Source organism: Homo sapiens, chromosome 17, assembly GCF_000001405.40.
Source record: "Homo sapiens chromosome 17, GRCh38.p14 Primary Assembly".
NCBI classification, from domain to species: domain Eukaryota; kingdom Metazoa; phylum Chordata; class Mammalia; order Primates; family Hominidae; genus Homo; species Homo sapiens.
The window spans coordinates 66,769,579-66,786,183 of record NC_000017.11 but is presented as its reverse complement, the minus strand read 5'-3'; the positions used below and the strand labels follow the sequence as shown (position 1 = coordinate 66,786,183).

The window sequence follows — 16,605 nt, the reverse complement described above, 5'->3', positions numbered from 1 at the left end:
TTCCCAGCTGGGTGTCCACAGGCAAATGACTTCGTTCTTTAAAACACAGTTCTCCAGGCCGGGCGCGGTGGCTCACGCCTGTAATCCCAGCACTTTGGGAGGCCGAGGCGGGCGGATCACAAGGGCAGGTGATCGAGACCATCCTGGCTAACATGGTGAAACCCCGTCTCTACTAAAAATACAAAAAATTAGCCGGGCATGGTGGCGAGCGCCTGTAGTCCCAGCTACTGGGGAGGCTGAGGCAGGAGAATGGCCTGAACCTGGGAGGCGGGGCTTGCAGTGAGCTGAGATTGCACCACTGCACTCCAGCCTGGGTGACAGAGCGAGACTCCGTCTCAAAAACAAAAACAAAAACACAGTTCTCCAACTTGTAAGATGGGGTTTCTGGGAGTAAAGTGCCTTGTATTTTATGTTGTACCCAATAAGCGCCGAATGAAGGCAACTTAGCAGTATTATTATTTAAGACAGAGCAACTCTCTTGGGAGGGGCCTTGAGCACCTTCTAGGAGGAAAGGCTGAGCTCACAATGCCCTTTGAACTTTTTCCTCCAGCATGTCTGTAGTCCTGAGGGATCCATCACTTCCCGGTCACTCTGGCGGGATGGCACAGGAGGAAAGCGTTCATGGGAAATTCCGTAATGCTCCCCCTTTGGCTGCGTAACCTTGAGCTTAGCGTCAGAAAGGCAGAGCAAGGACCAGCGCTTGTACAGAATCCTCTTGTTTAATCTTGAGATGTTCCTTTCTCGTGGGAAAGAGGAGTCAGTCACTTTGGCTGACACGGGCAGGTCACACAGTGATGGTGTTTGGCTTAATTTTGAACTGAATCCTCGATCACAGGTAACTTCGCAGTAGTCAGAAGGATGCCCTTCTTATCAAACATTTTCTCCCAAGTCAGAGGCAGCCGTTGAGCCAAGTAGGTCCCTCCCCTCAACCACCACCCACAAATCACCTCAACCTGTTCATCCAACACCCGAGACCTGACCTCAGTCCCCTGCCCAGTCCTGGACAGGAGCCACGTGCCCTGAGGGAAAGATGCCAAGTCTACAGAGAGCCCCAGTGGGAGGACAGAGAGAGGCCTGGGTGTCTGGTACCACTCAACATTTTTTGGTCTGGAAATACAAATAAATAGGCCTCTTTTTCTGTTGTAAGTGCTTGGTGTAAGGAAGGTTCAATTTGGTGGAAGCTGCAGGTGGGTGAAGAGAGCTAAAATGAGCCTGCCTGTGAGGGACTCAGAACAGGGCAGGGGCAGCTGGCCACAGCAACTTCCACCAGCAGGAGCAACATGGAGCCTGAGAGGCCCCCAGGGCAGCTTGGGGGGGCACCCACCAGGGGGTGCAGGCTGCCGACGGCCACCTGTGTCAGCAGGGACAGCTACCTGTGCCATCAGGGGGACGTGTGGCTTTCATCTGTAGAGGGCAGGGCAGGCAGGCAGTGGTGGGGGAGAGCTGTGACGGAGCTACAGTGCAGGTCATCCTTGTGTCCACCCCACCGTATCTTCCCTGCCTAACAGCACGCAGCCTGCTTCTTCTGGACATCTATTTTATGATACCCATAACATTTCTCATTTTCCCTAATCAGTGATCCATAAACCTGGCTGAGTTTTGGCGAAGGAGATTTTCATAACTAAAACAAATGTAGTAGCTGGGCGTGGTGGCTCACGCCTGTAATCCCAGCACTTTGGGAGGCCAACGTGGGTGGATCACCTGAGGTCAGGAGTTCAAGACCAGCCTGGCCAACACAGCGAAACTTCATCTCTACTAAAAACACAAAAAATTAGCCGACTGTGGTGGCGCACGCCTGTAGTCCCAGCTCCTCGGGAGGCTGAGGCACGAGAATCACTTGAACCCAGGAGGCGGAAGTTGCACTGAGCTGAGATTGCGCTGCTGCACTCTAGCCTGGGAGACAGAGCAAGACTCTGTTTCCAAAACAAAAACATGGTGTGGTTTCTGCTGAGGGCGTGGCCTGCACCCTGCAGGGGCTCAAGGCTCCTGAACTGGCTGTGTGACCCTCTCTGCAATGTAAATGTGCCCTGGCAGGGAGCGGGGCAGAGGCTCTGCTTCCAGGTCACTGACTGGCACCTCACCACATGGCCCAAGAGGGCCTGTGGTCAGGGCCAGACACATACTTTCCAAGTCTCAGTGCAAAATGAAAACGGGAGTCCCTCATTGAAAAATTATTAAGAATTTCCAGATGCGACAGCGGAGCACCAAACCAAATGCACAGAGCTCTTGTGGGCTTGGGCCCTGTGCGACCGTGTAGGCTGCATGCCCCCGAAGCGGGCTAAATGGGGTGCACCTTGTTGGGCAGTGACAAAGGCGCCAGCAAGATTCAATCAGCCTCTCTGGAGGTGCTTGAATCTTAGCTGCAGGAACGCTGCAGGGGCCAAGTCACAGACAATGCAAACCAAAGGCCTAAGAGAAACGTTCTCTAAGGAACACAGGTGGAGCTTCCCCAGAAATCTGTCTTGAGTAGGGTAGTGAGAAGCTTCTCCTCATTTGAAGACGATTAGGTCAATGCAGCTGCAGCCACCCCACCTTCAAATGTGGAAGGCCAGGAATCGTTTGGGGAACATTCTGTGCAGGGCACTGGCCTACCACACCTACTTAATTGTCTCCTGGCATGGGAACCAGCTTTGCCAGGTGAGCTGTCCCCACGTATGCTCATTTCTGAAGGTGAATGGCTGTATCAGGGATTCGATTCTATAGATGAAAGGAGGACTTTTACTGTCAAGTCTTCTCTGGGCCCCACTGAAGGCTGGATACTGACACTCCCCAAAGAATATTCCTTAGAACATTAATCCTACAGCATCTTCCTGGGTCCAAGTTTGCATCCTCTACCCCTCTCTGGCAATTTGCTTTAACATTTAAATTGTACAGGCCCTGAGAAGTCCTGCAGTGAACAAAGCTGTTTAACTCAATGTGAATTCTTAGTCTAGGGCTGGAAGGATTCTCAGAGGCCTCTTAGGCTTGCCTGGTGGAATAAGATGCCCAAGCTGTAACAAAGCCACAAGACCAAACACCCGTGACAGAGCCTGTGCATTCCAGCCTTGATGTGGCCCCAAGGATTAGGGATTCTCTGTCACCACATGTCAGGGAGGGGACATGTCTCTGCTCCTCACGTTTTTCACCGCTGTGAGTCTATGTTACCCAATAAGGCAGGAGCATCGTGGGCATGAGGGTAGGAGCAGCGAAAGTGACCACAGTGGCGTTCATTTCTCAGCCTCTCTCTGCATGTCACGTGCTGTGCAGACGGCTTGGGTGGCACTGCTCACTCCGCAAATCAGTCTCAGGACACAGGTGCTAACCCAGGCATCCTGAATTTGGAGCCTGGGGCTCTTAGCCATTATGAGCAATTCCGCCTGCCCCACTGTGAAGGGTGACATCCAACACTGCTCCTGGTAGGGGTGAAGTGAGGCAGAGGGTACTCGGCTACAGCCCCACCCAGCATGTAAAGAAGACTCTAATGAGGGCAAGGGTGTTGGGGTAAATTTTAGAAGGCTGATTCACAGCCTGCACAATATGCAGTGATGAGTTCTGAAAATGAAGGGGGTGGGGCAGCCCTGGGGGCCTGAGATGTTTCAAGTCATCCCGTAGAGAGCGACTGGCCTCTGCGCTAGAGACCTGGCATGGTTTTCCAGCTCTAATGAATTGATGGGAATCAGGCTGCCTCCCTCCTTCCCAGCTGCTGGCCGATGCAGCTTCTGTGTTGCTTCCCCAAATTCCTGCTGGTTGAAGGTGGCATGAACCTGAAGAAGGTAAAAGGGGGCTGTTCTTGGGTATAGGGAAGAGGAGTAGTTAAGTGCCTCCTCCCAGCTTTGGAATACCATCAAATCAAAGGCATCCTTTTTCCTAGTCTGTTTCCTCTGTTGCAAAGATAGAGACTATTTTTTTTTTAATTGTGATAAAATATATATAACCTCTGTTGCAAAGATAGAGACTATTTTTTCTTAATTGTGATAAAATATATATAACACAGGCTGGGTGTGGTGGCTCACACCTATAATCCCAGCACTTTGGGAGGCCGAGGTGGGCAGATCACAAGGTCAAGAGTTTGAGACCAGCCTGGCCAACATGGTGAAACCCCATCTCTACTAAAAATACAAAAATTAGCTGGACATGGTAGAGTGCGCCTGTAGTCCCTGCTACCTGGGAGGCTGAAGCAGGAGAATTGCTTGAACCCGGGAGGCAGAGGTTGCGGTGAGCCGAGATTGCACCACTGCACTCCAGCCTGGGCAACAGAGCAAGACTCTGTCACACTCACACTCACTCACACACACACACACACACACACACACACACTATATATATATATATATATCTCTCTCTCTCTCTCTCTCACAAAATTTACCATCTTAACCGCTTTTAAGTGCACTGTACTGTGGCATTAAGTACGTTCATGTTTCTCCGTAACCATCACCACTGGCCATCTCCAGAACTTTTTCATCTTCCCAACTGAAACTCCACTCACAAAAGAGACTCCCCATTCTCCTGTCCTCTCAGCCCCTGACAGCCACCATTCAACTTTCTGTTGCTATGATTTGACTACTCTAGGCATCTCATGTAAGTGGGGTGATACGATACACGTCCCTGTGACTGGCTTACTTCAAGATGTAGACTATTGGTATCTTAACTGTGCCTTCCGGTATCAGTAAGGATAGGCTGGGTCCTGCTGTGGAAACAAACAACCGAGACCATCTCCAAAGCATAAGACAACCCGTTTCACTTCCTGCTTATGCTACCTGTACGTTGAGGGTCAGAGAGGCCTCTGCTGGTTGCATTCGGGGACCCACCGGGATGGAGCAGCTGCCATCACAGTCTTGCTGCAGCAAAGGCTGGAGCAGCAGCTCTGCCATGTCTTGTACCTGCGCTTCCAGCCCCACCCTGGACACCTCCCCTCTGATCTCATTGGCCGGTGCTGGTCATATGTTGCTCCCTGACACCCCACAAATACACATGAGAAAGGAAGTACAATCCTACTGAGCCAGGAGGGAGGAAGACTGGGAGTACCTGGTGAATAGCAGTAATGACCAGCACATTCAGAAAAGCTCCCTGGAGCCCGTGTTTTATTTTTATATTTTTTATTTTTTTGAGATGGAGTCTCACTCGCTGGAGTGCAGTGGTGCGATCTCAGCTCACTGAAGCCTCTGCCTCCTGGGTTCAAGTGATTCTCTTGCCTCAGCCTCCTGAGTGGCTGGGATTACAGGTGCACGTCACCACGCCTGGCTAATTTTTTATATTTTTATTAGAGATGGAGTTTCACCATGTTGACCAGGCTGGTCTTGAACTCCTGACCTCAAGTGATCTGCCCGCCTTGGCCTCTCAAAGTGCTGGGATTACAGGTGTGTGTCACCACGCCTGGCCTGAAGCCCTATTTTAAACGAAAATTATGTAATATGGTGTGGAAGGGAAGTCTACGAAAAAAGCATCCCCATTCCCTTTACCTGGACACAAAAATTGCGCTTATTTTTATGTGGGTTCTTATGCTTTCTTATATTATTTTCTCTTTTTTTTGAGACTAAGTCTTGCCTGTCACCCAGGCTAGAGTGCAGTGGTGCGATCATGGCTCACTGCAACCTTCCGCCTCCCAGGTTCAAGCGATTCTCCCACCTCAGCCTCCTGAGTAGCTGGGATTACAGGTGTGCACCACCACGCCCAACTAATTTTTGTATTTTTAGTAGAGATGGGGTTTCACCATCTTGGCCAGGCTGGTCTACAAACTCCTGACCTCGTGATCCACCCACCTGGGCCTCCCAAAGTGCTGAGACTATAGGTGTGAACCACCGTACCCAGCCTCTTATATTATTTTCAAATTATGATGCATAATTTGGAGTTTTTTTGTTTTTCACCGACTGTTGCAAATACATTTTCTTTGTTGCTGCCAGTGTTCCCATGAGTTGAATGCCATTGAGGTGATGCGTCATCAGGACAGATCCACTGTTCCATGGCACATTTACAATTGCTTCCAGCATGTACCCTCATCACTAACGCTACTAGAGACACCTGTGCATATCATTGTTTTCTTCTCTGAATCACATCCCCATAATAACGTCCCAGGTGTGGCATCCTGCAGCCTAAAAAAATGTGAACACATTTACGGCCTTTGTTAAGTCTCTCTAGGCTCAAGTCTCCCTGGAGCATCTGACAGGTAATCACTCGCTCTCAGGCCCTGGCGTTGAAGGCAAGGGAACGGTGAAAAGTTACTAATTCTATTCCTTTTCCTTTCTGGTACTGCCAGCCACTTAGCCTGGGGACCATGGGGGTAACGTGTCACTCAGGTGCTTTAGTACATTACCATTTTGGATGCCTTCTCTCGCCTCTTTCCCCCATTCCCATGGTTTTTAATTTCTACAAATTTGGACTCAATGTTCCAGGCTAAGCTACCTGTTGAAAAGTCTTGGGTTGGTGTAAACATTTTCTGAATGGGTTCTATCCCCTCTCACCCGCTCCTTCCCACTTTAACAATATGTGATTTGTGGAAACCAACACATGAGGAGTGATGGTTCACATTTTGCAAAAAAGGATTCCTAATCACAGCTGTGAGCCACCTCACTGCACTGGTGTGATCTCAGCTAGGAAGTGGTCATGGAGGCCACGCTTATTTGCAAATCACGGAAACCTGGGCTGGGGGCTAGGCATGCTCCCCTGGACAATTCAGGCCGAAGTTAAGATGAAGTGGCGATTACTGATTCAGTAGGAGTGAAATCAAAGCATAAATAACCCAGGGAGAAAAGGGCATAAGGAGAGGGCTGGTCCCTTTATGACGATCACCGAGAACACTTGCAGGCACAAGGTGCTCATTAGAGTGCTGGGTAAACACTATTTATGCCCCAAAAGTGATTGTATTTGTCAAGCAGTCCAGGAACTGAATAAAGACTGAGGCTGTTTATTCTTAACTGCCCCCTTGGCTGCTGACAATAAATAAAGCAAATGAGAAGAAAATGGCAATAAACTATTTTTTTCCTGCTCATCTTCAGCCCTCTGCGATTAAAGAGGACAAACTTAGACCAAAACCCTGTCAACGACTTTATCATTAATCTTACTTTTCAATAACAACATCTATTCCGTTTGCTGGGTCTCTGGGATTGCTGAAGCTTGGAGGGGCTGTGGATAATACTGGGTAGAGCCTTCATTATCCTTTCTGAGCTGAGTGACAGCCTAGGAATACATTTAAATTTGCATTGAGGAGTCAGAGAGAAAGATGAAGAAGGGGATTTGAATGAAAACACTGTGTTTGAGGCGGGTGAGGTGGAGATTTAGAGGAACAAAGGCTGTTATCTGTGCCTGCCATTGCACCAGAATGTGGAGTGCCTTTAAGGAGTTGTTGTTTTTTTTTTTTTTTTTGGAGACAGGGTCTCACTCTCTCACCCAGGCTGGAGTGCAGTGGTGTGATGATCACAGCTCACTGCTAGCCTTGACCCCCCGGGCTCGATCAATCCTCCCACCTCAGCCTCCTACGTAGCTGGGATGACAGGCACTTGCCACCACGCCCAGCTCATTTTTGCATCTTTTGTAGACGGGATTTTGTCATGTTGCCCTGGTCTCGAACTCCTGGACTCAAGTGATCCACCCACCTTGGCCTCCCAAGGGCCCCAAAGGGATGAGCCACTGCACCTGGTCTAAGGTGTCATCTTTAAAGAATATCACCGTTTTCTTTTTTTCTTTTATTTTTTTGAGATGGAGTCTCGCTCTGTCGCCCAGGCTGCAGTGCAGTGGCGCGATCTCGGCTCACTGCAAGCTCCGCCTCCCGGGTTCACGCCATTCTCCTGCCTCAGCCTCCCGAGTAGCTGGGACTACAGGCGCCCGCCACCACACTCGGCTAATTTTTTTTTGCATTTTTAGTAGAGATGGGGTTTCACTGTGTTAGCCAGGATGGTCTCAATCTCCTGACCTCGTGATCCGCCCGCCTCGGCCTCCCGAAGTGCTGGGATTACAGGTGTGAGCCACCGGGCCCAGCCATCACCGTTTTTAATAGAGATGATGGAGACCTGAAAGTATGCATATAAGGCAGGCTAAGTGGCTCTGAGAAGCAGTGTGGGAAATATTGGAAACAGGCCAGAAAGTTTGCAGAACTATTGAGAGCTGGAGCCTGGTGCTCTCCAGGGGGCGTGAGCTTAGTAGGGAAACCTTTAAATAAGGCCTGTAAATCACCTCAGGCCAATTTGCAAATGAGGTCTGAGGCCAGTGTGGCAGAGCTTCAAAATGCACCCCCCAAAGGGGACTTCTCTGCCAGAAGAAAGCATTCCCTGAGTTCTCCCCTAGTGAATGAGATCCCAGGAAGGCTTGGAGAGGGGAGAAGCCAGGCTGCGGGAGGGAGGAGGACTTTCCTGCAGACCTGGGTTCTGAAATTCTTGTCTCCTGCTGGCCAAGAGTCTACTCACGTGACCTCTTGTAAAGCGCCCTCGGAAACAGATCCTGGCTTCGTTTCCGCCCAGCCCCTTTTGCATGTTAGCATATGCAAATGTGACTCTTAATGAAAGCAGGGTTTGTTTTCCAGACTCAAGAGCTGAACATTCAAGTGGGATCAAGAGGGGGACTTGGCTTTTTGTGACTTCATGAAAAGCAGGACTCTTAGGGGGCCTGTAATTCAGAGCCGAATTTTACTGTAAAAATTTTAAAGAGGGGGAAATTAACTTGAGGAGCAGACAACTCCTGTTTCTCCAGCCATTGACTCACTGATGGTGACTGTGTACGAACTGCCTTTCTGTGTTTACACCCGGACGTATTTGGCCTAAGAGGAATGCTTTGATTTGGGGTGGGGGGAGGGGAACTAAATAAATAATAAACCACTCTTTTGATGTCAGTCAAGCCTTAACACCATTGAGAAATAATGATCAAATGCAGGCTAAAGCTTTATGTCTTTCAATGTCTACAAGACCATTTCAGTATTTAGGAAATATAATGAAAGACACATAAAGGAGAGATCATCCACAGCCTCCCATCCTAGAGGCAAAGCCGCTGATCTGGAGATGACGTTCATGGTCACAGTGTTACAACAGGTGGCTGTTCGGACATGGGCAGGGCAGGAGAGGGCTCCCCCTACCCACCAGGAATGTCAGGCGACCATCAGGTGGTTAACTCTCTCTCTGTAAAATAATAATTGGTCGCAGCCAGCACCAAGGAAAGGCAGTCTCCCAATAAAGGGAAACACCTGAAACTGGTGAGCAGCAGCTTCCCAATAAGATTTCAGGAGTTGGGCGAGTGGGCTCAAGCACGCGCATGAAAAGGCAACATGGCGGAGTTTAACTGGTACACCACCTTCTAGGACATCTGACTGGTAAGGGAAGAATGCCTCAGCTGAGCACACACGTAACTCCAGTAAACACACTGCACATGCCGCCCCTCCCAAGCACTAGCAGGCCACTGCGCACGCAGACAGCCCAACCCAAGGGAAGAATCAGGGGAGAAGAGATGTAAGACCCTGGAAGAACACCAATGCATAAAACCCCAAGTCAAAAGTCAAAGAGTGCACTAGATCTCTCAAGTCGCCGGCTTGGCCCTCTTCCAAGTGTACTTTACTTCCTTTTGCTCCTGCTTGAAAGCTTTTCCATGAACTTTCATTCCTCTCTAAAACTTGTCTTAGGCCAGGTGCAGTGGCTCATGCCTGTAATCCCAGCACTTTGGGAGGCTGAGGCGGGTGGATCACGAGGTCAGGAGCTCAGGACCAGCCTGGCCAAGATGGTGAAACCCCGTCTTTACTAAAAATACAAAAATTAGCCAAGCGTGTTGGCAGGTGCCTGTAATCCCAGCTACTAAGGAGGCTGAGGCAGAAAATTGCTTGAACCTGGGAGGCGGAGGGTGCAGTGAGCTGAGATCGCGCCACCGACTCCAGCCTGGGCAACAGAGCAAAACTCCATCTCAAAAACAAAACAAAACAAAACAGAAACAGCTTGTCTTAGGCTCTCACTCTACCTGATGCCCCACAGTCAAATTCTTTCTTCTGAGGAGGCAAGAACTGAGGTTGCTGCAGCCTCATGGGGATGCACCACTGCTAACAACAGGATCCAGAGCCTCTTCCTCTCTGGCCTCAGGCCTCCTACTCCCTCCCTCTCTAGCTCAATTCTGCTCTAGCCCTGCTGGGAGCTTCCATTTCTTAAACGTGGCTGCACATTCCCTGGCCTTAGGGCCTTCGCGTGGTGGCTCCCTCTGCCTGGAATGCCCTTTCAACAGATATGCACACAGACAACCCCATACTTCCTTTAGGTCTTAACCTTATCCTCTCTGGCCAATTTCAACCTCCCCCAACACTATCTTCTTTCCTGCTTTATTACTTTTCTTCCTAGCTTACCTCTGCTGTGTTATACATTTTCCTTATCTAACCTGTCTGCTGTCTCTCCTCCTCTAAGCTGTAAGCTTCACGAAGTTAAGGATTCTCGTCTGTTTTGTTCATCCTTATGGCCATGCACATTGTAAGCATTCAGTGAATAAATACGTGGTGAGTGAATGAATAAATGAGTCAATGGACGTAACATGTGGGAAGGGAAGACTTTTTCCCCAGAAACAAAGATGTCTTTGGGGGTGGCTCTGTCGCACAGCATGGCCATCTCTTTCCATTGTCTCTGACTAAGGCTTCTGGCTATGGAGAGTCACAGGTCTTGGCACTAGCATGTGAGTGCTGGGAATTATAAAAAGCTGCCCACGGCAGAATCATGTTTAGTATAAGGCAGAGATCTGCTGGGTGATTACCAAGCCTGCTTCGTGATTACCAAGCCTGCTTCCCCTGCTGAGCTCTCAGATATGCTATACTTCCTGCCTCTTTGTGTCCCACTGGGGCCAAGTGGCCAGTGGAACCTAGGCAGAAGTGATACATGCCATTTCTAGGCCGGCCCCTAAGATATCCTATGTAACTGATCTGTGCTCGGCTGAAAGGAGGAGGAATTAGCGGAGAAATCTGAGACCCTAAAAGGTAGTAGGGCTGACGGACAGGAGAAACCTGTGTCCTTGAATGAACCTGTGGGTCAGTGCCCCACCCCCACATGGGACTTTGCCACGGAAGTGTCCTATGTGGGGGTGGGCACTGACCACAGGGTCATTCAAAGACTCAGGCTTCTCGCATCCATCAGCACCACCATCTTGTAGGGTCTCAGATTTCTCCACTAATTCCTCCTAATTTCAGCCTAGAGCATGAGGACAGTCATAAAGGATGTCTTAGGGGCCAGGCCTAGAAGTGGCAGATAGTACGATTCACCCTGATGACACAGATATTAAGGCCATTATATTAGAAAGTGCCATGTTAGGCAATAAGGCACATGGTTATCTGGTACATGTCACATCATAAGAGAAAGCTAATTTACCTTCCTTAACTGGATGTTCAGCCTCACTGGACTTCAGTGAAAATTACAACGAATTGCCAAGGGTGAGATAGGAGGAGATGGGGAGAAACTATTAAAACACTTCTTCAAGGTAACTGTCTTCTTCCTTAAATAATAATACTAATTACACACATTGGCAGCAGCTGGGGCAATCTTTGCAGACAAACTTGCAGGGAACCATATAACCCAACCCCAGTTTTAAGATACTGAAAACTTAGAGGCCACTGCTGTCATCAACGTGCACATTTTTTTCTTTTTTGAGACCGTCTCACTCTGTTGCCCAGGCTGCAGTGCAGTGGCACGATCTTGGCTCACTGCAGCCTCCGCCTCTCAGGCTTAAGCAATTCTCATGCCTCAGTAGCTCAAGTAGCTGAGTTTACAGATGTGCACCACCACGCCTGGCTAATTTTTGTATTTTTAGTAGAGATGGGGTTTCGCCATGTTGGCCAGGGTGGTCTCGAACTCCTGACCTCAGGCGATCCGCCTGCCTTGGCTTCTGAAAGTGCTGGGATTATAGCCATGAGCCACCGCGCCTGGCCAACATGTACATTTCATAACGTGAAACTGACACTGTCTACACTCCAGGTTGTAGCTTTCAATTTGGAGTTTCTATGACCAGAGATAATTTCTGTGCATACTGAACGTGATCCACTTTGAAGGGGGCGTTTCTCCCTCTTTCGCCTGGGTCAGGGAAGTCACGCCAACACCAGCTGCACTAAAACGTCAGGTCTTGCTCTCGAGGCCCAACCAGAGCTGAAGTATTCACATAACACAGCAATAAACAAACATGAAAATGTAGCAAAACATTACCTGCCCGGCAAGCATTTCATACAACAGGACGCCATAGGCCCACCAGTCCACAGATTTTCCATACGGCTGATAAGCGATTATCTGTGTGAAAACAAACACATCAATTACATTAGTGGTAAGTCCAATAGCCCCTGTCAGAACAGGTAAGTCAAGCAGGTAGGCATTTATACACTCAGTTCATGCAGATGAGGTGCTAAGATCTGTCTTTGATGTTACGCCAAGGGAAGAGGACCCTTCAAATCAGACACACGGAGAACTATCACCCCGTGATTCACTGCCCACGGCTGGTTTGGGGAATCTTGTTCTGAATCCACCTGGAGATGCCACAGCACTGTCTGAAGGTAGTTTTAATTATCCTCCCTGGCAGAAAGTATGTGGACACTGAGGTGGATTTAATTTTGAGAAAAAGCCAGAGGCCGGGTGCAGCAGCTCACACCTCTAATCCCAGCACTTTGGGAGGCTGAGGCAGGAAGATTGCTTGAGTCCAGGAGTTTGAAACCAGCTTGGGTGACATAGTAAGATCCTGTCTCTATTAAAAAAAATTTTTTTAATTAAAAAAAAAAAAAAAAAAAGGAAAAGCCAGAGGTCATTCAGAGTTTGAGTCTGACATATAAGATGATCAAACTATGTAACAGGGCTTTACTAAGAGTATAATAGTAAGGATGATGATAAGGAAACATTATAGTTTTCTTGTGTTGCACAGAGAAGTGCAATGATATACATTCAGTCTATTGAAAAACAGAAGTTTTAAAACACTTTTTAAAAGACATAAAATATAGTAAGCAAATATAGTATCTAGAGCCAACTGCAACAAAGAAAATTTGAAACAACTGGGAAAATTAAGATACAATCTGGATGTCAGATGATACTGAGGACTTACCATTCATTTTGTTAGGTGGCATAATGGTATGTTGACTAGTTAGAAAACATGTTTTCTGGCTGGGTGTGGTGGTGTGAGTCTGGAGTCCCAGCTACTTGGGAGGCTGAGGCAGGAGGATCACTTGAGCCCAGGAGTTTGAGGCTAGCCTGGGCAACGTAGCAAGACTCTGTCTCTTAAAAAGTAATAATACTATTAAAACATTTTTAAAGTGTGCTTATCAGTTAGAAATGAGTATATTTATGGGTGAAATAGAAAAGAGATAAAGTATTTATGGGTGAACTGACATATCTTAAATTAAAAAAAAACACTTCAATAAATGAGGTGGGAGAAAAATAAATGAAATGAGTTGGCAAATGCTGGCAGCTGTTGAAATTGGTGATGGGTCCACAGGGAGCTCATTCTACACTTCCTTCTACCTTTGTGGCTATCAGAAGTACTAGAATAATTCTATAACCTCCCTTCGTGGAAGGGAGTAACATGGATTTGAATTTCTAAGTATGGCAGGGCTTATTAAAACACTGGCTTCATTACCTCTCAGGTACGCTGTGTACCTGCTGCACACAATTCCCAGACCCATGGATCACATGCCAGGATTCAAGGTCAAGACACACTAACAGGTACTCAGCATAACCATTCTGCCATTTCGCTTACAACTTTTACTTTGAAATGTTCTGGGATTTTTTTTTTTTAATGGCCCAGAATGTCTAATTAAATGTCCTCGGACATAAAACTTTCTGCATGTCTGCCCACTTTCATTTCTTTAATGTATTACTAATATTTCTGCATGTAGGATGAGAAACACAAGCACCAACAGTTTAAGTGTGGGCAGTAACAAGGGTAAACAAGATTAGATCTGGCACCTTTGTAGCTCATTTCCTTGACAAGAAAATGATATAAACATAGGAACCTACAAGGAGTCTCTAATTTCTTTTACAACCTTTGTTCTGCACATTCTTTTCTGAAAACTTGGAAAATACACACATAAGAAACCCCAAGAAATGAGTCTCCAGTCTATTACCCGGGGATGATACATCTCATTCCAGTTCCCAGACAAAATTTTGCATCAAAGGAGTTGCATATTTTTATAACCTTTGATACAATGGTAAATTGCTCTCCCAAAAGGACTGGACTGAATTTATCTCCCTGATACCAATGTCATTATATTTTCCATTACCAGGTAAAACCATTCTGTTAAAAATAATCTTTTTGTGCTTTTAAAAAAAATTCCAGAAGCCATGCATGCTCATTAAAGAACAATTAGGAAGAAAATGAAAAGCTAAAGAAATAAGGAAGCGGCGGGCGTGGTGGCTCATGCCTGTAATCCCAGCACTTTGGGAGGCCAAGGCGGGTGGATCATGAGGGTCAAGAGATGGAGACCATCCTGGACAACATGGTAAAACCCTGTCTCTACTATAAATACAAAAATTAGCTGGGCATGGTGATGCCTGCCTGTAGTCCCAGCTACTTGGGAGGCTGAGGTAGGAGAATCGCTTGAACCCGGGAGGTGGAGGTTGCAATGAGCCAAGACTGCATACCACTGCACTCTAGCCTGGGCAAGAGAGCGAGACTCCGTCTCAAAAAAAATAAAAAAAAAGAAATAAGGAAGTAAAATTGTTTATGATCACTATCCAGAAATATTAATGTTATTTCCATATAAAACCTTTCCATATTTTTTTCTAGGTGTGATATGTGTGTACATATGCATTAAAAACTGAATTATGTGAGCCTGCTATTTTGTGGTCAGTTTGTTTATTTAATAATATATCATGAGTATCTTGGCAAGACCTTTGACTATTTCTGCAAAATAAATTCCTGTCAATAGAATTGGTGGGTCAAAATAAATGCTTCTAACTCAAAAGTAAAACTTTTTAAGACACATTGCTGGCCAGGGGCAGTGGCTCACGCCTGTAATTCCAGAACTTTGGGAAGCCGAGGTGGGTGGATTACTTCAGGTCAGGAGGTTGAGGCCAGCCTGGCCAACATGGTGAAACCCCGTTTCTACTAAAAATACAAAAAAGGTAGCCAGGTGTGGTGGTGCATGCCTGTAATCCCAGCTACTCGGGAGGCTGAGGCAGGAGAGTTGCTTCAACCCATGAGGCAGAGTATAGTGAGCCAAGATCGCCCCCACTGCACTCCAGCCTGGGCGACAGAGTGAGATGCTGTCTCAAAAAAAAAAAAAAAGACACATTGCCAGGTTACTCAAAACAGTAGCACGCTCACTCCCACCAGTAAACAAGTGCCCGTTTTCCAAATTCTCAAACTTCTGGCCTTAAGATTATCCCAGTTATCTTCCCAGACACGTGCATCTTCATCTAAGCCAGCCCAGCCTTTGGCAAGGAACTCCTCAAACTCATCGCCTTCACCAAGAGACCTAGGTCTACTGGCTGCTTTTTCTCTGACACTGCAACCCTCCACATCCACTACTTCCCAGATCAGCAGAAAAGTTGGAACCCTCACTCTTCCTTAACACAGCTGCTCCCATTGCTACTGCTGCCGTGGCAGACACTACCATAGGGCTAGAAACATTTAGACACGTACTTCTACCTGGATCAGAAAGAAGGTGCTATATTAATTTTAGGACTACGTTTAAGTCTTTAAAGGGGGCCAGTCAGGGGGCATTGCTGATCTTGGCTGGGTGCTTACACATCTGGGAGTCAGCTAAATGCTGGCTGATCTAGGCTGGTGCCATTGTAATCACTGGGCAATTCTGTTTCCGTTTGTTTTTTTGAAGTTAGAACAGAAAACACAGAACTGCTATACCATATAAAGACAGATTGACTATATAATTTCCCAATTGCCTAGATTAAAAAATTGTGAAAAACTTAAAATTAGCAAGTGTCTGAACAAATGTTTACATGGAAGATTTCCTACTCCAGCATTCTACTTTTAAACATCCTATCATATTACCTCCTATGGGAGACACTGCCATAGTATATTTAATAACTTTGTTTAATGAATAATGAATAAATAGATAAGTGACTGGATGCATGAATGAACAAATGAACTTACACATACTTGGATCTGCTTCTTGTCTTTCCATCTGTTTCTCTAGTGGCATTCTCTATTTCCTGCATCTGAACGGCAGAAGCTGTGCCAACTAGAAATGTATAAATCTGAGAGGAAATATAAAGTATTCCCAAGAATGGAAGCATTCCACCCATGGGAAACTCTGCTTATCCAGAAAAACCAGGGGGATAATTAAATGAGTGAATGTAAATGGATTTTGTTTGAAAACTGTAGGGTAGTAGGCAAACATCAAGCACTGCTATAATTTTGATCAAATGATAAGTCTCTTCCATTTATCTTAGTGGGAAATCTTCAATTAGTCAAAATGGAAAATATCATTTTAAAAAAGACTTGAATCAAAGGATTAACGAGCCCAACGATTTTCTTTGAAAAGGATCACAAGACCCAATGTCTTGGCTTAGGGCTGTTCTCTAAAATAATAGTCTAAGAAAATGTGACAAGGTTCCACAAACATAATTATTGTCTCACACACCTTGCTCCTATCAACACAGTCTTTGTAGAGCTGCAAATTATAAAATTAAAGAAAAACACACTCTGTGATGCTAGGTGGGAAATGTGGCTTTCCCCAACAAAATTTGCAAG

At 46.8% G+C, this 16,605-nt stretch overlaps 1 protein-coding gene across 6 annotated transcripts in view, besides 1 other annotated feature; it reads right to left on the bottom strand.

The window, feature by feature from the left end:
- Positions 1-16,605, bottom strand: part of PRKCA (protein kinase C alpha) — a 508,131-nt gene that overhangs the window by 24,560 nt on the left and 466,966 nt on the right. For all 6 annotated transcript variants that reach the window (XM_047436388.1, NM_002737.3, XM_017024836.3 and 3 more), the window contains one exon: positions 12,117-12,197. In XM_047436388.1, coding sequence (XP_047292344.1) covers positions 12,117-12,197 — 81 coding nt within the window. The remainder of the gene's footprint in view (positions 1-12,116; positions 12,198-16,605) is intronic.
- Positions 3,218-3,719: an enhancer, noted in NCBI's record as "H3K4me1 hESC enhancer chr17:64778583-64779084 (GRCh37/hg19 assembly coordinates)". NCBI's record gives its function as "activates a minimal SCP1, AML or CMV promoter by ChIP-STARR-seq in naive H9 embryonic stem cells {active_cell/tissue: H9 hESC(naive)}" and the evidence as "EXISTENCE:reporter gene assay evidence [ECO:0000049][PMID:30033119]".